Below are 25,486 nucleotides of genomic sequence, written 5' to 3' on the forward strand. Positions count from 1 at the left end.
AGTAACTTTCGTGTGTAACTTTTGGATTAGAATAATAAATATCAATATAAGCCCATAAGGTTTTATATTATTTTTATTTTTCTTTTCTTTTTTTTTTATGGCTTGGATGACACTTTATTTTCAGATCCAATACTAGAAGTTGTTTCCATGTTCACATTTTCCTTCCTGGTTTAAAAAAAAGAGTTGTATTTTTTTTTTTTGCTTTTTTTAAATTATACTTTAAGTTTTAGGGTACATGTGCACAACGTGCAGGTTAGCTACATATGTATACATGTGCCATGTTGGCGTGCTGCATCCAGTAACTCGTCATTTAACATTAGGTATATCTCCAAATGCTATCCTTCCCCCCATTGTATTTTTCATAGCTTAAAAATCATTGACATAGAATAATTCAGCTAAAGTACGTATTAAATCCCTGGAAAATAAATTTTGTCTTAACAAGGTAAGTTGTGAAAAGATGTTTTGTCACAGGAAAAAGGAAATCCTCCATTTAAAACCCTCCATGCTGAAATAAAGGAGGAGTCCCATCTTTCAGTCATTCCACTTCAGGCTTTTGATATAACTAATCTCTTTTCTTCTTCTTTCCTTTTTTGGCAAGCTTTCGGAAACAAAACAGGCAAAATTTTGTGATGATAAATATCACAGTTGCCACGCAGGCCAGCAGGAATGCTATCACATCCAAAGAGTGGTACTGGATCCAGGTGAGGTTGTGAGCTGCGACTCGAAGGTGCTTGGCTCCTTTGTGGCGCATGACAAACTCAATCCAGAAGACTGCTCGATCCAGGGGCTTCATTGGTTGGTCATGATGAATTCTTGATAATTTCATGACATTCTCTTTATAGCTGAAGGATAAATATAAAGATATCAACATTAAAAGTAAATTTATTGCTTAAGCATATCAAGTCTATGGATGGTCTTTGAAAAGTGTCACACAAATGATTGAAAGTAAGTGTCACTGAATTGGCATGAAATTTCAATGTTTTAATTCATGTCATTACAGAAAGTTTGGTTTTTAAATTGGAGTTTTATCACTGACAAATACCTTTAAAAATGAAAAATGGAATTTTCGGTGGGAAAGTTAATGTTTTCTGGAGCAGAAAATATTATGAGCCATTCTAAGTGCTATAAGTAAGATAGTGGAAATGGAATTTGAGAATGATCTTTTTGATCTTTTTAATTTTTTTTTATTTTTTGAGACAGGCTTTTGCTCCATTACACAGGCTGAGTGCAGTCACATGATCATGGCTCAGTTCAGCCTTTCTCTTTCGGTCTCAAGTAATCCTACATCTCAGTCTCATGAGAAGCTAGGACTACAACTGCACACCACCATGCCTGGCTATATTTTTTTATTTTTTACACTTTTAGATATGAGGTGTTGCTGTAGTGCCCATACTGGTCTGGAACTCCTGTAGTCAAGTCATTCTCCTGCCTCTGCCTCCCAAAGTGTTGGCCCTACAGACATGAACCACTGTGCCCAGCCCATTTTGACGTATTTAAAGAAGAATTGTGACACAACTGGTGAAATGCCTCCTAACTAGTTTCTCAGCTTCTACTCTAATCTTTTGTCTTCTACCATATTTTCCTTCTAGTAGCCAGAATATTTTCCAAATTAATATCAAATTATGACACTCACCTGTTAAGATTTCCATCTGGTTTCTTGTTACATTAAGAATAAATTCCAAATCTGTCTTTGGTCTAGAGAACTCTACACAGGCACCTACTTGTCCTAGCCCTTTCCCCCTGTACACTTTCTTCTAGAGACAATGGCCTTCGGTTTTTCTCTAAACTCCTGAAGGTGTTCTCACCTTAGCCCCTTTACACCTTTTGTTCCCCGTGTCTCTCTCATTGAGCATTCTTTCTTGCAACTACTTGAGGTTTGCTTCTATTTCTTTTTGAGGCTTCCCCTTGTATGATACCTCTTGGAGAGTCTTTTCCTGGCCACACTATAGGCACCCATAGGATTTCTCTAGTGCTTCATGCTTACTTTGCTATTTGATTTCTGGAACTTTAAAATATGTTGTATATCTTCTACAGTAAAACTTCAAGTATGAAATACATAGGATAAATGTATATATACTATGTGACTACCTCAAAATTTTAAGATTATCTTAAACATTATCCCAAAGTGAAGACACCAATTTATCACAAACTGCATAGAAGAACTCTCTCCTCCTGGGCCATTTTAGTCACTATTTTTATCCTCAAAGTAAGTATTAACCTGATTTCTGATATCATAGATTAGTATTGTTTATATAATTGAATTAAATAATACATATTCATTTCTGTTTTTGGTTAGCAGTTGTTTAATAGCATTGGTGTAGAGAGTATTCAGTTGATTGACAAAGACCACAGATGATCTCTTCATTTTGTGATTAATGGATATTTGTGTTGTTAACATTTTTTGACCTTACTAATAATTATGGTATTAAGATATTTGTATATTTTATTAGGTTTAAATATTTATTCATTTTTGTTGGATGTATACTTGGAAGAATAGTTGATGAGAGAAAGGCACATTTATAATTAGAATTTTTTGTTGACTGAATTTTTTAAAAAATATTTTTTATTTTAAAGAATCAGATTGTTTTCAGTTATCGTTTTTGGATGATTTATAATTTATTTCTAGTATGACTAGAACATATAATTTTTATGAATTTGAATCTGATACAATTTACTTAGTGTTTATTTATGGCCCAGCATATGGTAAATTCAGGTAACTATTTCATATAATCTTTTTTTTTTTTTTTTTTTTTTTTTGAGACAGAGTCTCTCTGTCACCCAGGCTTGAGTGCAATGGAGTGATCTTGGCTGACTGCAATTTGCATCTCCTGGGTTCAAGTGATTCTCATGCCTCAATCTCCCAAGTATCTGGGACTACAGGTGCTCATCCCCTACATCTGGCTAAGTTTTGTATTATTAGTGGACACAGGATTTCACCATGTTGGCCAGGCTGGTCTCTTAACTCCTGACCTCATGTGATCCTCCCACTTTGGCTTCCCAAAGTGTCGGGATTACAGGTGTGAGCCACCACACCCGGTCTCCATAAACTCTTTTAAAAATGTTTATTTTCTGTCTACACACACACAACCAGAGATATATGTATGGATACATATATACAGATAAATGTGCAATATATATACACACACACATATATAACACATAGATTACATTTAATTGTGTACTTCAAATGTTTTATCTCCTTAAATAAAATATTTCAAAGATCACTATTTTGTCTTTTCTTTTTGGTCTGCTTAAATTTAATGTGAGTACTGGTAGGTTCACTTTTTTGTTTTTTTGCTTTTTTGTTTTTTTTTGAGATGGAGTCTCGCTCTGTCACCAGGAGTTCAGTGGCACTATCTCGGCTCACTGCAACCTCCGTCTCCCGGGTTCAAGTGATTCTCCTGCCTCAACCTCCTGAGTAGCTGGGACTATAGGTGCACACCACCATGCCCAGATAATTTTTGTATTTTTAGTAGAGACAGGGTTTCACTATGTTGGCCAGGAGTATGGTCTCGATATCTTGACCTCGTGATCTGCCCTCCTCAGCCTCCCAAAGTGCTGGGATTACGGGCGTGAGTCACTGCACCTGGTCAGTTCAAATTTTTTTAAAAAGTTTTATTTTTACTTTAAGTTCCAGTATACATGTGCAGAATGTGCAGGTTTGTTACATACGTATATACGTGCCATGGTGGTTTGCAGCACCGATCAACCTGTCATCTAGATTTTAAGCCCCTCATGTATTAGCTATTTGTCCTGATACTCTCACTCCCCTTCCATCCCCCGGTGTGTGTTGTTCCCCTCCCTGAGTCCATGTATTCTCATTGTTCAACTCCCTCTTATAAGTGAGAACATGTGGTGTTTGGTTTTCTGTTCCTGTGTTAGTTGCTGCGGATAATGGCTTTGCATTTCATCCGTGTCCCTGCAACAGACATGATCTCATTCCTTTTTATGGTGCATAGTATTCCATAGTGTACATGTATCATATTTTCTTTATCCAGTCTATCACTGATGAGCATTTGGGTTGGTTCCATATCTTTGATATTGTAGATAGCGCTGCAATAGACATACATGTGCATGTGTCTTTATAGTAGAATGATTTATATGCCTTTGGGTATATACGAAGTAATGAGATTGCTAGGTCAAATGGTGTTTCTGGTTCTAGGTCTTTGAGGAATCACCACACTGTTTTCCATGATGGTTGAACTAACTTACATTCCCGTCAAAAATGTAAAAAGCTTTCCTATTTCTCCCCAGCTTCACCAGGATCTGTTGTTTTTTGACTTTTTAATCATCGCCATTCTGACTGGCATGAGATTGTATCTCATTGTGGTTTTGATTTGCATTTCTCTAATGATCAGTGATATTGAGCTTTTTTCATAAGTGTGTTGGCTGCATAAATGTCTTTTTTTAAGAAGTGTCTGTTTATATCTTTTGCCCACTTTTTGATGGTGTTGTTTTTTTTTTTTTTTTTGTAAATTTGTTTAACTTTCTTGTAGATTCCGGATATTAGACCTTTGTCAGAGGGATAGATTGCAAAAATCTTCCCTCATTCTGTAGGTTGCCTGTTCCCTCTGACGATAGTTTATTTTGCTGTGCAGAAGCTCTTTAGTTTGATTTGACCCCATTTGTCAATTTTGGCTTTTGTTGCAATTGCTTTTGGTGTTTGTGTCATGAAATTTTTGCCCATGCCTATGTCCTGAATGATATTGCCTAGGTTTTCTCCTAGAGTTTTTATGGTTTTGGGTTTTACATTTAAGTCTTTAATCCATCTTGAGTTAATTTTTGTATAAGGTGTAAGGCAGGGGACTAGTTTCCGTTTTCTGCGTATGGCTAGCCGGTTTCTCCAGCACCATTTATTTAATAGGGAATCCTTTCCCCATTGCTTGTTTTTGTATGGTTTGTCAAAGATCAGATGGTTGTAGATGTGTGGTGTTTTTCTGAGGCCTCTGTTCTGTTCCACTGGTCTATATGTCTGTCTTTGTTCCAGTACTATGCTGGTTTGGTTACTGTAAGGTGTAAGGAAGGGATCCAGTGGCAGTTTTCTCCATATGGCTAGCCAGTTTTTCCAAAACATTTCTTAAATAAGGAATCCTTTCCCCAGTTGCTTGTTTTTGTCAGGTTTGTTAACAATCAGAGGGTTGTAGATGTGTAGTGTTATTTCTGAGGCCTATGTTCTGTTCCATTGGTCTATATATCTGTTTGGTACCAGTACCATTCTGTTTTGGTTATGTAGCCTTGTAGTACAGTTTGAAGTCAGGTAGCATGATGCCTCCAGCTTTGTTCTTTTTGCTTAGGATTGCCTTGGTTATATGGGCTCTTTTTTGTTTCCATATGAAATTTAAAGTAGTTTTTTTCTAATTCTGTGAGGAATGTCAATGGTAGTTTGATGGGAATAGCTTTGAATATATAAAATACTTTGGGCAGCATGGCCATTTTTACAATATTGATTCTTTTTATCCATGAGGATGGAATGTTTTTCCATTTGTTTGTGTCCTGTCTTAATTCCTTCAGCAGTGGTTTCTAGTCCTCCCTGAAGAGGTCCTTCACATCCCTTGTTAGGCATATGCCTAGGTATTTTATTCTCTTTGTTGCAATTGTGAATGGGAATTTATTCATGATTTGGCTCTCTGTCAAATCATGTACTGTCAGTGTATAGTAATGCTTGTGATTTTTGCATATTGATTTTTGTATCCAGAGGCTTTGCTGAAGTTGCTTATCAGCTTAAGGAATTTTGGAGCTGCGACAAAGGGGTTTTCTAACTATAGAATTATGTCATCTGCAAACAGAGACAATTTAACTTCTTCCCTTCCTATTTGAATACCCTTTATTTCTTTCTCTAGTTCACATTTAAATCCAGCATCTTATTCTATATATATATATATTTTAATTTTCTAACCTGTTTTATGTTTCTTTACTTTCTTACTTTTTTTGAAGTATCTTAAATCATTTCTTGTCTTACTAATTTTTTGGTAAAGTGTTTTTAATGTATTCCCTTAGCTGGTACCACCTAACCTCATAATAATATTGGTAGGAGTAATAGACTCTGAATTGATGGTAGCTGGTCTAGGCACAGCATTTTTCATAGTATTTCCTTTGGATTATGGAAAAGTTAAGTATTACATATTTATTTTATCAACATTGAAACCTTTGTATTTCAAAAGGCATCTTCCAAAAAGTAAAAAAAAAAATCTATCTGTCCATAGTGGAAGAAAATATTTGAAAATCACATATTTGATAAGGGATTGTATCTATAATATATAAATAATTCTTATGAATCCATAAGATAAATAGAAAAAGACAAAATATTCACAAGATTAAAATAGAAATTTATCTAAGGAAGATGTGTGAATGACCAGTAAGCACATGAAAAGAGGGTTAACATCTTCAGCCATAAGGAAATGCAAATGAAAACCATAATGAGAGACCACTTTACACACACTAGAATGGCTGTAATAGAAAGACAGGTGATAACAAGTGTTGGGAAGAGTGTGAAGAAATTAGAGCCCTCCTATCCAGCTGGTGGTAATGAAAAATGATGCAAATACTTTGAAAAACAGTTTAGCAGTTCTTCATAAACAACAATTTCCCATATGTCTCAGCAAGTCCACTCCTAGCATCTCCTCAAAAGAAGTAAAAACATATTTTTACACGGAAAATATGTATAACAATGTTCATAAATGCCAAAATTGGAAAGACCTAAAATGTCCATGACCTGATAAATGGGTAATTTTGGTATAAACATATCAAAGAATATTATATAGAAATAAAAATGAATGAGTTCTGATACATCCTACAACATAAATAAAACTAAAACTAATTATGCTAAGTGAAAGAAGTCATTTATGAAACACCATAAATTGTATGATTTCATTTATATAAAATATGTGAAGAGAATAATCTATTGAGAAACAAAGTAAGATGGTATTTTTCTAGGACTAGAGGTTTATTGGGAGTGACTTCATACATTATGAGTTTAATTTGAATTCATTAAAATGTTCTTTAGGGCTGTGGCTTTGTAACTATGTAAACATACTAAATATATTTAGATTTTAAATTTTAGTGAATGTTATGCTATGCAAATTATAATTCATTATCACATTTCTTAAAATAATGATAATAAAAATAAATTTTTGAGAAAGAATAGATTCATACTTTCAGAAATTTTAGGTATTGAATTGAAATATCATATTTCTCTAGTTATGTTCTTTCTTTTCATTGTGCATTCTATCATTAAAAATATTTAAAATAATTATCTACATATCTTTAATTTTTTTGATTTTATAATTCATTGCAGTCATTGGTGACCCATTAAATCTGTGGGGTTGAAATGTAACTTTGAAATAAACTGTCTGGTGGAAAGTAAGGACAGATTTTACATTGGTTAAATCACTTCAATCCCTTCAAAATTAGTCTCTTAAAAACGGGTTAAAATTCATATTCACTGTTGACAAAATAATTTATAAATACCACCTGGTCACAAAACTGTAATACTCACACAGGGTCATTAATGACTGACTTCAATGCATTGAGCAAATCTCTACTTGACATGGTCCTGATGTCCACACTGAGGGCTGCTCCCTTGGCTTTCATGTGAGCAATGTTATCATGTTGATCCGCAAACAAGGGAATGCCCACCATAGGGATCCCATGGTAGATCGCCTCATAGATGCCATTGGTTCCACCATGAGTTATAAAAGCTTTGGTTTTGGGATGACCTAAAAGTGGATGCATTTTAACAAAATTATTAATTACAAGGTATGAGAATTGAATAAGAAATGCACAATATAAGGAACTTAAAGCAAAACTGTTCCCTAGGTAACATTATACCCACAAAACTGCATTGAAATTGTTTTCAAATTTCAGAAGAATTGCCAGGTGAACAAAATGAAAAAGCATATTCTTAATTAAAAAATTAAAATGTGCAAAAAAAAGAATAAGATTGGGTATACAAGAACGTGGTCTTTTAAGTATTATAAATAATGAGGTCACATTTACATATTTAAAAAATATTTAAATACTTAAAATATTTAAAATATTTAATTTTTTTTAAAAGGCAGCAGGGAGTAGGGTGGAGGTGGGGCTGAGGAAGGACCGGTTATGCATCATCATGAAATGTGTTATCATTTTATCATGATAAAGATTGGTTATTTATTCCCATAAAAAGTAGAGTCACTGGTAATAGAAAAGTGTCCGCTATTTTTCAGTGCCTGTTGAAATAACCCTGCAGTAGGGGAAAGAACAGAGGTAAAGCTGCATAAATAGGAGACAGACAGAAAATCCAGGATGTTATTTAAAACCTGTGAGAGGAAATTACACCTGAACAAAGAGATTTTTATTCTGACCATAAAGAATGTGACTGTATGTAATAAAATGCCAACTACTATAGTGCATTCTTTTTATACTAAGACTGGAAAATAAATATAAAGTAGTTAAATTTGATTTGTTTTTTAGTTTTCCAATAATAAATGCTAAATATGTTTGTTTTATGTTGAACTATTATCACTCCAATTTGCTGTTACTAATATATTCACTGTTTGTTCTCCAGAATCTTACCAAGAAGGTCATTCTGGGGTAACCACTTGTACAGTCGAGTATTGGAACCTAAAGTATTTGGCTTCTTGCCATCAAATCTCCATAGAACCTGTTAGGGCAAGGAAAATATCTTGTTCAATGAATAGAACTCTAAAAACATAGCATGTTAGAATTCTGAAGAGATTAATAATCAGTTAGTTAATCCATATAAAAGATGAAGAAATAAGAAGAAGTGATGTCAAGTAATGAGAACTACTAAAAGTTTGAGGTAAGTTGAATACCCACGTTTAATGTCGTTACTTTTATAATCAATTTTGTATATAAAGAAATAATGACATTTCTAACATAATAGCTAGACACATGAGATTGTGAAAGGAAAATAAATCTTGGCAACCCAAACTCTATGCTAAAGGGAAAAGTTAAGCTGCTTAGGGCAAACCTACCTCCCATTCTATTCAAAGTCAGCCCTTGACTCACTGAGATAAATGAATATCAAATTGCCTCATTTCGAGAGGCTAATCAGAAACTCAAAGGAATTCAGCTATTTGTCTCTCATCTACCTATGACCTGGAAGCCCCTTCCATGCTTCAAGTTGCTCTGCCTTTGTTTCTAGCTGTCTCCCATTTCTGGACCGAACAAATGTTCATCTTATATATGTTGATTGATGTCTCATGTATCCCTAAAATGTATAAAACCAAACTGTCCCCCCACCACCTTGGACACATGTCATCAGGACCTCCTGAGGCTGTGTCATGGGTGCACATTTTCAACCTTGGCAAAATAAACTTTCTAAATTATCTGAGAACTGTCTCATATATTCAGGGTTCATATTTTGGTAACCATGAAGAGATTCTGAGTGGAGGTTCCCTGACCTTTGATAAATGTCCTATCAGTGCTTGGTACCAGCATGAGCTAAATTTATGGCTCAAACAAAGAAGACAATTGGCTGAGGTCTGGGAGCAACCCCTCCAGAGAATCTCTGATACCCCAAAATTCAGACAAGATCTGAAGTTTATTTTGCTGTACAACTCCTTTTTGTTTTTTTTGGAGTTTTACTTGCTTCCTACAAGAAAGGCAAGATTTCCTGTTTCCATGACAATGGAAGGCAGGTAACTCTATGGAGTTTGAGCTCGCTCCCAGGAGGGAGGATGAATTTGAGGTTTCTTTCCTGATTCTAGGATGGCAGAGGGCAGTTTTGGCCTGAAACCCATCCGTAGGTAAACAGCTGAATTGCGGTTTTGTCTTGGTTAATGTTTAACAACTAGCTGGACTTAATTTCTCCTTACCATTACAGTGCTTAGTGATCACATTTCTGGGATTTTTTTTTTTTTTTGTACATTCCAGTATTTCTCCCATCAGATTTGATGAACTTTACCTGACTTGATCAAATCTGAGTGAGAATTCCAAATTGTGGGTAACAAAGCCTGTCTAATTTGGCTAAAATTCTTTGCAGACGCAAAAGAGAAAACAAAACAAAACAAAACAAAACCTAAAAACCATGCTCTTGGTTTCTGTGTTTGCTTCCTGTCTTTAAAAAAACAAATGTTCTTTTGTTTACTTTTCCTCCACCCTATACCTCCTTTTGCCTTTTGCCATTTGCAGTATGAAAAATCTAGAGAAGGCTTCTAATGACTTGAACTCTTTTAAAGAATTCAGAACAAAGGCACCACTCACCCCTTTAGGGGTGTCTGTTTTCTTTGTGGAGTTCCAAGAGTTGTGGGCAGATTTTTTTCTCAGTCCAAAGCTCTGTTTTCCTATGTTGAATGACCTGATCTCTTTGGCTTTGAGATTACCACAGATTACCTTGTACTGTGAGAGGATTTTACCTTGGCATGTGTAATGGCAGACGAGTTACAAAGTAGGGGGTGGCTGAGTACAGTTTACTGGAAGTAGTATTGACTGTTGCTATTTTTTTCCTCCTAGGAAGTTGTTGTTTAAGAATCCTAATTCTAGTTTGGAGATGTGTTGTAAAGGGTCTCCTCTATTGTTTTTATTCCCCAAATTAATCTCATTTGGCTTGTCTGTGTGGATTTGTGTGAGAAACTGAACTGTGGTTTACATAGGAAAATGAGAGACTGAGTTTTCTCAGCTCCAAAGTGAAAGGGCATCTGCTCCTCCCAGGCAAAAGGCACCCCTAAGCAACTGGGGGCCTTGTGGGAGTGTCTTGGGGTTGACCCCCTGTGACATGGAGTGGCCCTGCAGGGAAATCCCCAATAAAAATTAACTTTTAAAAAAAGGCTAGTCCAGGAAACACATATGAGGGCAGATCACCCAGCATTTTGAGCCCTCTCAGAGGTCATACACCTCTGGAGAGAGAAACTGAGACATGTAAGAGGGTGGAAACAACTCAGTGGTGACACACTGTGGAGTACTGCCCACAAGCAGCACACATTGATTCACCACACATAAACCCTAGGCCACAGCTCAGTTCCTCCTTTTAGGAAAAAAAGTGGGAAACAAATAATCTAAGAATGATGAGAAAACAAGAAGAATGACCCCCTGATATCACTTGGTAGGTTTTATGACACCTCTACTTGGCAGAGTTTATGTAAAATGAAGGTAATACGGTCTTTGTGCACATATACATTAAGAACCCTAGGTTGTCCTGCAAGCTATAGAGTTCCTAAGTTCTCTCTTTTTAAAAAAAATTCTTTTCTTCTTGCTTTAAATTTGCTTTTATTTTTCTATTAAGATAAAAACCACACTATGGATTCAACAGGTTTTTGTCTGCAAGCTGGTCAATTTTTTTTATCTCATGGCTAAAGTTCTGAAGTAAAAGCCATAGAATCTTTTGTGTGTGTGTACATGTGTTTGCATATATTTAAAAGGCCATTATAATTTCTATAATTTTATGTTTAATAGGCAATTGAATCCATTTTATTTTCCTTCCAGCACACCAAATTTTTTGTCTCTGTACCTTATGATGTAAATTTTGCTATTTAATTTTCACTTGGTTTCTTTTAATATGCAAATGTAAGACTATTTAGCTTACAACTGCCTATGGTGATCAAGTATTCATACAGATTACCTATTGAAACAGGTTATCAAGAATTTGGAAGTCTAATATGGCAAAATGTAGTTTTCATAAATCTATAAGATGTACTTCTATTGGCATGCTTAATGTGTGTATGTATTTATGTGTTTTGTACACAGTGTTTTATTACTGAAAATATATAAAAGAGCTCTAATTAATTGGCTTAAGAAAATAAAAGTGCTTGAATTAAATACTTTGCCAGAAAAAAAAGACTAGTCAAATGCTTTTTCAAGTTTATGTAACTTCAATAAAATCTTTTATAAATAAGATAACTTTACAATTATTGCTAAAGTATGATAATATTAGAAATGTCTTAAGAATTTCCAGCATATATTTTTGTTTGCATTTATTAATCAAGCAATTTCATACTTATTGTTGCCAAATACTTTAAGGTGTCAAAATTTGACATAAGGGTTACAAAACTGTAAACCAAGCCCAAAACAGAATGATCTTTGCTTGTGTAATTTTTTAATAAATAAGACATTGATATTGGTTTAATGAAAATAGCCACATCTTGAATTAAGTAAGATTATCATAACTTCTAACCCTGTGGCCTTAAGCAATCTAGTCCACAGGCAGTAAGGTTTGTTTTGGGAAAAAACTGTTATCATTTTTATTTCAAAGCTAAACCATAAAGGGTGTGAAATGGCAACACTATCCTTCAACTCATTTTCAACTCATATAAGTTTTTTTCCTCAAGTTCTGTTTGTTGTGGCATAATGCTAACAGTGCTTTCTAAAAGCTATTCAGCTCCTCAAGGTCCAGGGACTATCACAGAAGAGGTGGGTGTGTGAGATTTTAAGAACTGATACTGAGAGATAAGTTAGTTTATTTACAAATTAATCATTAATGTCAAAGACACACTAATGCAAGACCAACATATGGGCCCCTGTGTCAGATTAACAAGGTTTTCTGGAAGCATAAACTGACTTCTTAATAAAGATTATAAAGGTTATGAAAGGCTGAGGAAAGTTATATCTTATGGTCAAGATTAGAATTTTATAGATTGTTCATAAAATTTTGAAAAACAAAGTTATTTGGCTTCATGCTATTTTATTAGGGCTTATTGTTTGGCAAATTGAGTCTCCTCTCTCAAAGAATGAAGATTTTTGCCTTTTTTTGAAATCCTTGAGTTACCACATTAGTCAAATGAATGATTTATCTTACCTGTGATATTAAGTGTTTTAAACCTTTGATATTTGAGAAATTTTCCAAACAAATTATAAATTATGATTTTTTCTGACCTAAGTAATCCTTTAATTTATTAGTTTCCCTAACATCCAAAAATGACATAATTTGGTTTATTTTGTATAAAAATTATACAGGAAACATTGTCAAATATGAAATGGTGTTTGGTCTTTTTGAGCTGTATTTATATAAGTATGTTATTGTTATGTGTTCCAAAATTATGGGAAACTCCTATAATTCTGATATGACTTAGTGTGTACGTTATCAGTAACAATTATATGTGTTAAGTTATTGTGTGCCACAGAGGTAACAAATTTCCTTGTCCATTGTGTCTTTGACTGAGTCTGCCCTAAAACTTTTTGTCCTCCACAGACAATTGTTGTCTTACTTTGGTCCTCTTTAGAAGGCGATTTTATACTCAGCCATAAAATTCTAACAGGTGCTCTTGAAAAAAAGTTTTTGATAATTTTGGAGATTGTGACATTAGAATGGAAGAAAAACTTTCAGGACTCATGGAGAACTAAAATGTTCATGAGTATCAAGCAGAACAGGAATTAACTACATGGACTGAAATAATAAAAAACTAAAGTAATCTTTTAGACTTTGCTTAAAACATTGCTGATCCTTTGTTTTGTTTTTTTTTCAGAGTGAAGGAATCTTTTTTTTTTTGAGCTATTAACAGCTTTTAACAATTTAGTATACTCCTATGAAAAAAATTTAGAACGTATTTGTTTCCCTCTACCTGATTTTTCAGAATTTGGAAACTATTTGTGAGTATTTTTTACTTTTGTCAATACAGTTATTTGCATAAGTGCAATAAGAATCTATTTTCATTTTTAACAAAACACAATTGGAGAAACTGGTTATTTTATCAAGGCTTCCACTGGTATGGTGGGCTTTCCTTTAGGGAATCAAACTTAACTTATGGAGCCAATAAAACCCCTTGGGAAAACTGGCCTCATACCTTCATCTATAAGGTCCCTGTACAGGGTTCCTGAACTGTGTTAAGCAAAGAATGTAACTTTCTGACAGGCCCAGGAGCCCCAAGTTTATTTTGGAACCCCAAGAGGAGAGGAATTCACCCAACTCGTAGGTATTTGATGGTAGAAATCTATGGCTTTCCTCAGCTTTAAAAAAGTCCTATCTGAGATTCTTTCTATAAGACAAAGTTCCATCAAAGCCACTTTAAAAGCCTATGTAAATAAAAAATTATTCTTCCTCCTCTGTATACAATAATCAGGCCAAGTATAATAAAGCAAATCAGTTGTACCATGGTTTGTCTTTAGTAAAATTGGGAAACTGAAGACAGAAAAATTATGTTTCAAAAATAACAGTATACCTGTTGTTAGATTCTAGTCTTGCCTAATGTTTTTCAACTTTTATTACTGTCTACAGTTTGGACTGAATTCTAATTTTTCATGGCGACACGTCTTCAAAATAGTGTCTTCAGGTTTTTTTTCCTCCCTTTCCACCATTTTTCCTAGTTTGGAGTCACTGTAAACTAAGTCATGCTTTCATGAAGCCCTACAAATTAAGCTAGACAACTTAAACTCCAGAAGAAAATAACAGCAACCAATTTACATACATAATCCACTTTCATACCTGCCTACTGATTTATGGACTTCAGAGTAATGGGCCTATATTAATTTTCAAGGATTTTTCTTTTGTTTGGTTTTGTTTTTCTCCCTTTCTCCCTTTATTTTGTCTTCATAGGACATGAGACTTCACAACCTACTAAAAATGAACTTTCCTAATAACTCAGGACCTGCTTAGGAATAAACCTTCCTTGCCATTAGAGATCAGATGAAAACCTGAGACCAGAGACTCATTTTCTTCTAAAATGCTTTCTCCAAAAGATTTTTTTTAAATGTAAAAGGAAAATAAGCCTGGGGGCCCCAAAGTCACTAAGCAAATCACTGCCTCCCATTCTATTCAAAGTCACCCCTCTGCTCACTGGGATAAATGCATATCTGATTGCCTCCTTGGAGAGGCTAATCAGAAAGTCAAAGGAATGCCTCCTCCCTGCTTCAAGTTGGCAAAAATAAACTTTCTAAATGTACTGAGACCTGTATCAGATATTTGGGGTTCACAAGATTATCAATGAAATATTCAAATATTTAAGAATTGTTAAGCAGTCTTAATTCTAGTAATAAAAAAGTAGCAAATTAGTAATAACCTATATATTTATTTTATATACTTTATACTAGCTGTAACCTTCCAAATTTAATATAAATTTATTAATTTTTGAGTGATATGAGAAGAGTTTACTTATATCCACTTGTCTACTAGTCATAAGTTATTTTATGAATTTGACATCATTGATTACAAAAGACTAAATATTTAAACTGCACATATGGTGAGAAATAATGCTACATATGTAGTATGTGTAATTTCTTTTCATTTGCTAACTATCAAGTGCTACTTTCAGGAAAAATTTCAAGTGGCAGTGTTTGACACAAATTCAGACTATTATCAGTATTGCTACTTTTGTAAATGCTAACAATGTAGGAAAAAGGAGCCCATTGACAATTCATGATTAACAATACAGATGCTGAAAATGTAGAAAATTGTATTTTGCTGCATTTTGCTTAACTGATCTTTCACACTTAGATGATGCACTACCTAGCATTGACAGCCTTGATATATGGTCAGCTATAGCCAGTCATTACCATGTCTAGTACCAAACTAAGGTACTGATTTTAGAATTCCCAAGCAATCTTTATAAACTGGAGTAGAATTTACAAGTGTTGACCTTGTATTTGATATGGGAGTGTTAAAGTAACTCTGTGTTTTCAGCAAAAACTTGTATAGATCATTCAGAGAGGGCTATGTCAGATAAGAAACTAAAACGTAAATTGAAAATACACAAAGATTGTATAGATTAGAAAATAAGTTCCTACCATGTTTATTTATATTTTCTGCTCCTTCCTCAATCTGGAGAAGGCACTAATCTGATTCTTAGAGCATAGTCTTTGTTGGGCCACATTTAATAATGCACATAGTCTACCCTAAAAGCAGGATTCTATCTCCATCCTTTCCATTACATTTTTCTGCTTAAGACATTAGCGGCACCCAAGTCAGCAGAGCAGACAAGTTTTTTTTTTTTTTCTCTAAATCTACTTGGCTAGGTGGGTACCTCCAGAGCAGTGGCTAGTCAGACTAGGACATTCTTTCTCTGAATGGCACCCTGAACAGAACACTAAATAGACCTATTCCAATACATGGGAAGTAAAAACAGCCAGATTGCTTGGTAAGACGAAGCTGCATGATGCATTTCAAAGTTTTTTCGATACCTGCTTATTGTTATTGTGATAGTACAGTAACTTATTAAAATTTAACTGCTTTTTGATAATATCTACAGTGTATACAGTACCTTCTAAAATCCTGTAAACCAAAAGGAGCAAATGACAGGGCAGAATTTAGTGATTTCTATGTACATGCTACGATACCATGATAATACCAAACTTCACTAGCACCTCTTAAATATATTTCCTTCTGATCACAATATTAATGCCAACGTTATTATCAACCAAAACTCCTCTCTTTATGATTTTAAGATCTTCCATATATGTTTTTGTTTTGAACAGATGTCTGAGATAATTAGAACTATCATAGCAGTTAAATTTTCAGGCAGAACATTTCTGTAATGGACTCTTGAAGAGTTTAACAGATTCATTTAGTAGCCATCCACAGTTAAGGCACTTTATCTAACCTTTTGTGGGATCTGGGCAAGGGCTGATGCAATCATGTTGGCACTTTCTTCTGACATGTTACTGATCATCGACCCCAGAGAAAACACCACAATACCATTTTCTCCAGAGCTCTGCACAAACTCTTCCATTTCCTGTGAAGAAAGAATTTGTTCTATCAGAAAAGAGCAACAGCACAGAAAACACTATTGACAGGATTGTTACAAACATCTAAGATGAGAAAGTCAGAAGCTATTGGAGTAATTTTTTTAAACTGACCTAATCATTCAGTTTCTTTGAAAGGAGATGTGTAATATAATATATGTGGGATCTTTCATGCAAATTTGTGTAAATATGTGTGCATATGCATGTATGTATGTGTGTGTAAGGAGGAAATGAAACAAAGCTATGACACTGCAGTAGGAGGAGATAATGCTAGAAAATGTTACACCCAGACACTTTATTTATAATATTATAATTACTAACATAGGTTATTGGAAGGTAGCTTTACTTGGCTTCAATTCTAATTTTTTTTGTGGTTCTACTAAATCTCTTGTGTTTATTTGGGGTAGTTTTATTTTATTTTATTTTTTTCTGTTCAGTTCTTTTAGTTAGGAGTCATTGGAGCCATTACATGACTATGAGCATTGAGGAAAAGTTAGTTACAATTGGAATGATATTATATCTACATTTATTTAGCTTCTAGCTCTCTAACCCTTTATATTTCACTTAAAGTTAGGGTTTCCTAGTCTTACCCCACTACCCCTCACTGCCCCCGACACCCCCACCCCCCAAAAACACCTTAAAAGCTGAAGTATAAGAATCACTGACATTCAGCAGTCTGGTATTGTGGTTTGGAATTTCTGGGAAATAGTTCTGAGAATTCCATTTATAATACAGTATTATATACTATATAGTTACATAATTAAGTGATCTTATTTCTCAGGTCATTGCTTAGGTATGACTATGACACCTTTTGTCCTGAAATCACACTGTGAATTTGATGTGCTATGTATAACTGAATGTGGGGGACCCTCATCATCACTTTGCTGTGTCTCACAGGGGGCACTTGAACCACAGTGGGAGAGGTCACCAGGACTTTCTCCAGTGGAGATCTGCTCACCCCCTAGAGTAGCTCCCTCACACTATATGAAGCTCCTGGTGAATATGTGTTTGCTTTGAAATGAATGAGAATTATTCTGACTTGTGTTTCCTGATGTGTCCCTGTTTTTAAACTTAAATCCATTCTCTAATGCCACATCGCTCAATGTATTCTCACACCAAAAAAAAAAAAAGAGAGAGAGAAAGAGGAAAAGAAATGTAGACCCATAAGTTTCCTGGATATCATATCAAAATTGTATACTCATCTTTTTGTTGCTGTTGTCCCTTTTGTTCAAAATTCTCTTTTTCTCAGTAAAATAATGACCAACCCCTTCTGTCATAACAAATATACTTTCTGGTCCTAATCATTGGGGGAAATTTCTTTATAAAACTGTTTACAAATAAAAAAAGAAATTCTAAAATATGTCAATTCAGACCATATATTGGTAAGTATTTTTAAAAAATATAATTTAACTTTATGACATCTTTTTTTTTTTTCCAGATGGAGTCTTTCTCTGTCACCCAGGCTGGAGTGCAATGATGCAATCTTGGCTCATTGCAACCTCTGCCTCCCAGGTTAAAGCAATTCTCCTGCCTCAGTCTCCTGAGTAGCTGGGATTACAGGCACCTGCCACCACGCCTGGCTAATTTTTCTGTTTTTAGTAGAGACAGGTTTCACCATCTTGGCCAGACTGGTCTTGACCTCCTGACCTTGTGATCCACCCGCCTCAGCCTCCCGATGTGCTGGGATTACAGGCATGAGCCACTGTGCCTGGCCTGACATCAGTTTTAATTGGAGATTCAGTGTATGGCTATTAGAGATAATTCATGAGGCATCCAGGAACTCAGTGTAATTGCAGTTGCCTGTAGCCACATTTAATGTAACTTGAGTTCAATGTTTTGTCTCATTCACTGCCAAAAGTCTGCTTCACCCACCCAGTATTGAAGTAATAAAACATCTATTTATAGACAGATCAGCACTGATCTCATTCTGTGATGTCTTTATGAAAGTAATGGTAATAGAAGATCAATGTAAGTAGTTTTATAAAAGTATGAAAATTTAGAAAAAGAAAATCATTTACCCATATCTCTATCTCAATTTAAAATGTGTGCCATTTCATTATGGGTTTAATTCTATTTATATAACTCAATGTACATATGTGATGTTTATTTAGAAAATTTTATTCTCATTGTATATGCCTTTTTATTCTACAAAAAAACTGTGATCTTGTTCTACTCATCATTTTGTTCCTTAGTTTCCAACTATACCTGTACCACGGCTGACAGTGTAATTAAACATTGTTTTGAAAAAAGGATTGTAATGGCTTGGTATGCACATTATGTAAGTTTTTAACCATTTCTTAATGTAAGATATTTGAATTATTTCCAGAGTTTTTTTAATGAGTATTTGCTACCGATATTGAATCTTACCATCATGATTTATTCTCTGTACAGTTTCATGTGAGTATATTATAAAGGCAATGCCTATATGCATTTTTCAAACACTTGATACTTTTTGGCAAGAGTCTTATTCTTTTGAAATATACAAACATTATCTGAGAATCTAATACATAATGGAAAAGCAAGCAAATTTGTCGCAACAATTATTTTGTGTACAAAAGAATTAGAGAATCAGTTTCACAATTATTTACTTGGATTCAAGTCTACCTTCTGCAAGTTAACAACAACGGAGGCTCACACTTGTAATCCCAGCACTTTGGGAGGCTGAGGCATGTGGATCACCTGAGGTCAGGAGTTCAAGACCAGCCTGGCCAACATGGTGAAACTCTGTCTCTACTAAAAACACAAAGATTAGTCAGATGTGTTGGCAGGTGCCTGTAATCCCAGCTACTCGGGAGGCTGAGGCAGGAGAATCAGATCGCTTGAACCTGGGGGGTGGAGGTTTCAGTGAGCCGAGATCATGCTAGTATCAGTAATAATCACTATTGTACTACTAGTCATTTATCCCTTGTCCTTATTCTGCTACTCTCTTCCCCCTGCTACTGGCACTATCACTTTCTTTTAATGTGAGTGAGGAATTTTTTTTTGAGAATAAGATAAGAGTACACAGAATTACCTTTTAAGCTAGAATATTAATGAAGAGCCTCCACCTTTACAATACAACTTTAGCTTTCCAGCTTGTTCAACTGACTGCCCAAACTTAAACATTTACATTTAAACAAGTACACAGAGTATCTGTTCTCTAGGACTTTGCTAGAGAATATAATCTTGATGTGTTGGAAAATCAATCACTATTAAATGAAGACTGATATCTTAAATGGCTGGCACATGTTAGCTAATTTAAAGTATTAAAAATAATGACTGAAATAATCATAATATCAACAATATTTTTGGATCACTGGCTGTGTGTCAGAGACAACTTAAGTGTTTTATCTGTGGTAACTACTTTTTTTCCACACAGCACAATATGAAGTTGTGATTATTATTATAAAAGTAGTCATGATTGCTTAAACTCATGTAAAAGTTCCTAAATGATCTTTACATTTTACAAACTTGCCTTTTTGCAATATTATACATTGGGAATATTGGGATTTTTTAAAAGGAAATCTGATCATATCTCTTCATTTCTTAACTCTTTTCACTCTTTTCAGTAGCTCTCCATTGTCCCTATGGGTATATCAAATTACATATATATATATATATATATTTTTTTTTTTTGAGACAGATTCTCACTCTGTTGCCCAGGCTGGAGTGCAATAGCGTGATCTCGGCTCTCTGCAACCTCTGCCTCCGGGGTTCAAGTGATTCTCCTGCCTCAGCTTCCCAAGTAGCTGCTATTACAGTCACCTGCCAACATGCCTGGCTAACTTTTGTATTTTTAGTAGAGACGGGGTTTCACCATGCTGGCCACTCTGGTCTCCAACTCCTGACCTCAGGTGATCCACCTGCCTTGGCCTCCCAAAGTGCTGGGATTACAGGTGTAAGCCACCACGCCCGGCCCATCATTGACTTTTACTCAACCTTTTCCTGTAAATTAAATTTGGAGTTCCTGGGAACTGCCCTTATTGCTTTTCTACTTTTCTGCCTTAATGCAAGCCTTTACTTTTTTTTTTTTTGTTTATTTGTTTGTTTTTGAGACAGAGTCTCGCTCTGTCGCACAGGCTAGAGTTCAGTGGTGTGGTCTCAGCTCACTGCAGCCTCTGCTCCCAGACTCAAGCAAGCCTCCTGCCTCAGCCTCTTAAGTAGCTACGACTATGAGACTACAGGCACACACCAGCATGCCTGGCTATTATTTTATTTTTTATTTTTGTTAGAGATGAGGTTTTACCACGTTTCCCAGGCTGGTCTCAAACTCCTGAGCCCAAGCAATCATGCCTTCTCTGCCTCCCAAAGTGCAGGGATTATAGGTGTGAGCCACCTTGCCTGGCCTCTGGTTTTCTTTTTGGGTGTTTATCAACCCCTCATCGTTTCACCTATCTCTGCACATTATTGAGTACTCACTTTAATTGTCAATGAGTTTGGGATCTCTTCTGCATATTTCTTTATCATTGTGGTCTTTCCTTATAACACTTTTTAGACTTTTCTTTTTCACTTGTTTTTATTCTATCTTTCAAAGTACAATGTAAGGCATGAGGGAGCAGAAACTGTGCTACCTTTATTCTCTGAAAATCCAGCACTTACCTGTGGTTTGTATTAATCACTCTACAAATATTTTTTGAAGAAATGAATCATACTATCTTTTGGGTGGCACAATGAAGGCCTTACTTTAACCAACCCTGTTTTCAAAATCTCCCTAGTAAACCTCTTTGGTCTTTAATGATAATAACATTCACATACTTGTGATACTACAGAAATATATGATTTTCTAATGGCAAGTCCTTGTTTTTGACCTCCCATATTCCCCTCACTCTGAGTTAAACACTCTGAAAGAAACATATCCAGCCATTCCTTCTGAAAATGTCAAGCAAACAAATGAAACAAGAATACATTTACCTTAGGCAGGGGTTTGGCTGGTTTACAGTGAAGTCCTCCAACAAAATCAACATTTGGTAAGAATGGGCGAGGAAATTCAAAATCCCAATAGGTTCGAATGAGCCACATTTCAGCTTTCCCCATTGTCTCAAATAATGTAGTGGGTCTTCCTGATGGAAAAAAACAAAACAAAACAAAAGGTAGCTAACACGAGAATTGTTATTTGAATATGCAGGTATTTTCCTGAAAGGACTTGGAATAACATACCCAAACATATATAAAATGTCTGTGCATTGATAAAATATATATAAATACATTTATATATAGTCATAATTTAGATTTTATTTATTGCATATGTTGCTCATATGTATATATAAGGAAGGCAATGTATTCAGAGATCTGTAAGAAGAAATCACATCTTTAATGTAACATCAGTATATTCACAATCATAAATAATTATTAAAATAAGTCACTAATATGGTTTGACTGTCCCCACCCAAATCTCCTCTCATCTTGAATTATAATCCCCATAATCCCCATGTGTCCAGGGAGGGACCCAGTGGCAGGTGATTGGATCATGGTGTGGATTCCTCCATGCTGTTCTCATGATATTGAGTGAGCTCTCATGAGATCTGATAGTTTTATAAGTGTCTAGTATTTCCCCTGCTTGCACTTCTCTCTCCTGCCACTAAGTGAGAAGATCCAAGCTTGCTTCCCCTTAGCCTTTCACCATGATTCTAAGTTTCTTGAGGCATCCCAGTCATGTAGAACTGAGTCTATTAAACTTCTTTTCTTTATAAATTACCCAGTCTCAGGTATTTCTTTACAGCAGTGTGAGAATGGACTAATGTAGCCACTATGAACTTAAATACACATTTGTCTTCCCTCTGAAGCTGCAATAGTAACAAATATACCTTTAAACAACTCTTTCAGTTCCACAATTAATTCATCTTACCTTACCCATGAAAACAGCTTTCCAGGAAGTACTCTAGTGTCTACAGTTTATTAAGCTAGTCCCTTGATCCTTGGTTCTCAAAGTAAACCATGAGTTTTTTGAGCTCAACACTGAAATCTTTACACCTACTACTGTCTTGGTTCATCTTAAGATCTTAATATAATTAGATTTTTAAAATAAATATATTTACAAATGAGAATTAAAACATTTTCAGAATTTATTGACATAGAGATATGTGCTCTCCCTTAATTTGGCCCCTATTTTCTTTGATGGAGAGATGCAGTTTAATAAAATATAGATTAAAACTTAGATGTTCACTTTCAACAAGATTTCAGTTTTTGAAAGAAATAATTGTCAACCTGTTATTGAAGGAATGTATAAACATTAGAAATCTCAAGTTTTAGGCTTCTGTTTCTGGAGTAGAGCCACTATATTACTCAACTGTGAAGGAATCCTTCTTACATGAAAAACAAAATTTAATTTCTAAATGAGGAAACTGAGGAACTCAAAGAGAAACAAATTCCTCAATCCTGCATTGATAATTTTTCTAGAAATATGTGTAAATACTAAATTTATGTGTCTGCCTTCATGAAGATGTTTCTTGAGGTATCTATTGACTTTTTTTAAAGATGAAAAAATGTATAGCAAAATGATATGTGATAGTTTAAAGAAATCATTAGTGCTTTACAATGAAGGTTTATGACTCTCTGGGTGTCCTGTAGTAGTGATGGCCCCAGGGTTCTAACTGATTCTATAAGGTCAACATTCTATAATATTTTTGAGACTGATAGATCATCTTACATTTGCAATTCATAATTTCCCTTAAAAACACTATCTTCTGACATTATATTTATATAAGCTCACCTTCAAAGGCACAGAAAAGTTAGAACTTAATAAGCACCAGTTAGACACATGACTTACCTAGAACTTCACTATAAAACTGGTCCCACTTCTTCAGATCATAAATTTGAAACCAAAAGTCAAAATAAAGCATATGTATCATATTTTTTATCCTCTCCATGAAAATCATTTGATCACTTAATTCTGACATAACAACAGGTACATAGGAAGGAGGGAACAGAAATCCTCCACCATTCTTCTCAAATGTGTAGCCAACAGAGAATCGAAGACTGTACAGAAAGGGTATGTTAAATAGTTCAGCCAGTAGCTCACCACAGGGATTAAGGGCATCTGCCAGAATGACATCAAACTTTGACTCTTGTAGTTTCATCATAAGTTTCTTATTCAAAACTGCATCTTTACAGAGCTTGTTACTGTAGTCATAATATTCCCAACACAATTCTTGTAATTGTGAAAAATATGACCAAAATGTATTTTTTGAAACACCATATATCCATCTATCGAGAATTTTCAGAAGAGAATCTTCCAAATAATTTTTAGTTAAAGATGTAGGATAAACTTCTAATTTAATAGCAGATGATTTACTGGCATTGACAAGAGTAGAAGCCGAAGATGTCAACACAGTCACCTCATGACCCCTCTGAACAAGCTCTTCCAGGATTGTCTTCATATTTATCCAATGGCTGTATTCTGTGGGCCACACTAGCACCTTTCCACAGCTTCCAGAGCTAAAGTAACAACTGAGCTGTATCAGCAGAAAGACTGACGTCCATTTCAGAGACATCCTGGTCTTATGCAATGCTTCTTTTCCAGTTGTTGTTTCTTTCTGTCATTTCTCATACTTATATCTGAGGAAAAATCAATCAAGTTAAAATATAACTGCTAAAATTTGAAGTAAATACATAATACTAACAGTCTGAATAGGTGCATGCCAAGGAGACCAACAAAAGATTGATGACCTCATATTTATTTTAGTGTGTTTGGTGTTCTTTTATGTTTACAATTACTCTAGTCAAGCAATAATTTTTATGACCTAGAATATGTAAGTAACCTGTCTTATGTAATTATTTTATAATACTGTTAAGAACAGTGGCAAGTGAGAGGCTCCTGCCTGTTCGGTGCCCTTGACATAGAGAGAAGAAGTAATTATACAACTCAAACGGCATTTTTTAATATCGTGGTGCAAGTAATGTCTTCTAAAACTTTGTTGACACATAATTCATATACCATATGACTCACCAATTAGTGTGTACAGTTCAATGTTTCCTAGTATATTCACAGAATTTTACATCCACTACAATAATCAGTATTATCTCCAAAAGATTCTATACAATAGCCTCTAACCCCCCACTCTGAAATTTTGCATCCATCCTACCCTAGGCAACCACTAATCTAATTTCTATCTCTATAGATTAGCATTTTCTGGACCCTTTAAAAAATAAATGAGGGTTTTCCAGTGATCATGGCAGATGGGATGCAGGACTAGATTGCAGCTCCAGACAGAGCAGCATGCAGAGGCTTGCATTGTGAATTTTAGCTGCAGATCAACTGCAAGAACAGACCAGCAATTCTGAGAGGATCCACACACCCTCTGCAGGAAGAGTACTGCTCCTGCAGGACCTGGGAGACATCCCAAACACTGTGAGTGCCCCAACAATGGAAGTGGGAAAGGGTGATCCCCCTCTCCAGAATACACATCCCCACTGGAGAAGCTGAAGTTCTGTTTGCAGGAGAAGTTCCTGACTTTATGTGAAGCTGAGTCAAATTAGAGAACCAAGCCAAGCAAAATACAGGGGTAGAGGAAGTAGCAGAAAGGCACTGGGAGCTCTCTGGATACCCAAGCGGCTCATTCCTGCCTGGCATCACAGGGATCTATCAGGAGGGTGGCCAGTGATGCAGGGGGTTCAAAGATTCTCCTCAGGACCTGAAGGCTTGAAGGGATGAGTAACTCCTCCCTTCTCAGGCCCAGCCCCAAGATGCAAGACCACTTGCATCAGCAGCGTGTGTCAGCAAGATAGCAGAAGCAGGAAGAGAGCCGGCCAGAAGACACTTACCCTGGCTGGAAGAGATGTACCCCTGAAGATCAAGAAATAGGCCATCCAGGTACTACATAGCAGTCACAACAGACTGGGACACTTACTGTTTACAGAGGACTACAAAACCCCTGTCCCATCCTCACTTGGGGCTGATGCC

The 25,486-nt window shown here is 35.3% G+C and overlaps 1 protein-coding gene across 1 annotated transcript; it reads right to left on the minus strand.

Annotated features, from left to right (window-relative positions):
* UGT2B15 (UDP glucuronosyltransferase family 2 member B15) lies at positions 56–24,111 on the minus strand. The gene is made up of 6 exons (NM_001076.4): positions 23,354–24,111; positions 21,499–21,647; positions 16,467–16,598; positions 8,554–8,641; positions 7,496–7,715; positions 56–842 (listed from the first exon to the last, which is right to left on the minus strand). Exons 1-6 carry the CDS (start codon positions 24,075–24,077, stop codon positions 563–565), a joined length of 1,593 nt encoding a protein of 530 aa, NP_001067.2. The 5' UTR covers positions 24,078–24,111; the 3' UTR covers positions 56–562.

The sequence above is a fragment of the Homo sapiens genome, chromosome 4 (genome assembly GCF_000001405.40).
Source record: "Homo sapiens chromosome 4, GRCh38.p14 Primary Assembly".
Classification (NCBI taxonomy): Eukaryota; Metazoa; Chordata; class Mammalia; order Primates; family Hominidae; genus Homo; species Homo sapiens.

Coding starts and splice junctions, on each gene's coding strand:
- UGT2B15 (NM_001076.4), bottom strand. CDS start 24,077: ATGTCTCTGAAATGGACGTCAGTCTTTCTGCTGATACAGCTCAGTTGT. Junction 16,599..21,498: donor CAGCCAAACCCCTGCCTAAG/GTAAATGTATTC, acceptor CTTTCTTCACAG/GAAATGGAAGAGTTTGTGCA. Junction 8,642..16,466: donor TTGCCCAGATCCCACAAAAG/GTTAGATAAAGT, acceptor TTGCCCTAACAG/GTTCTATGGAGATTTGATGG.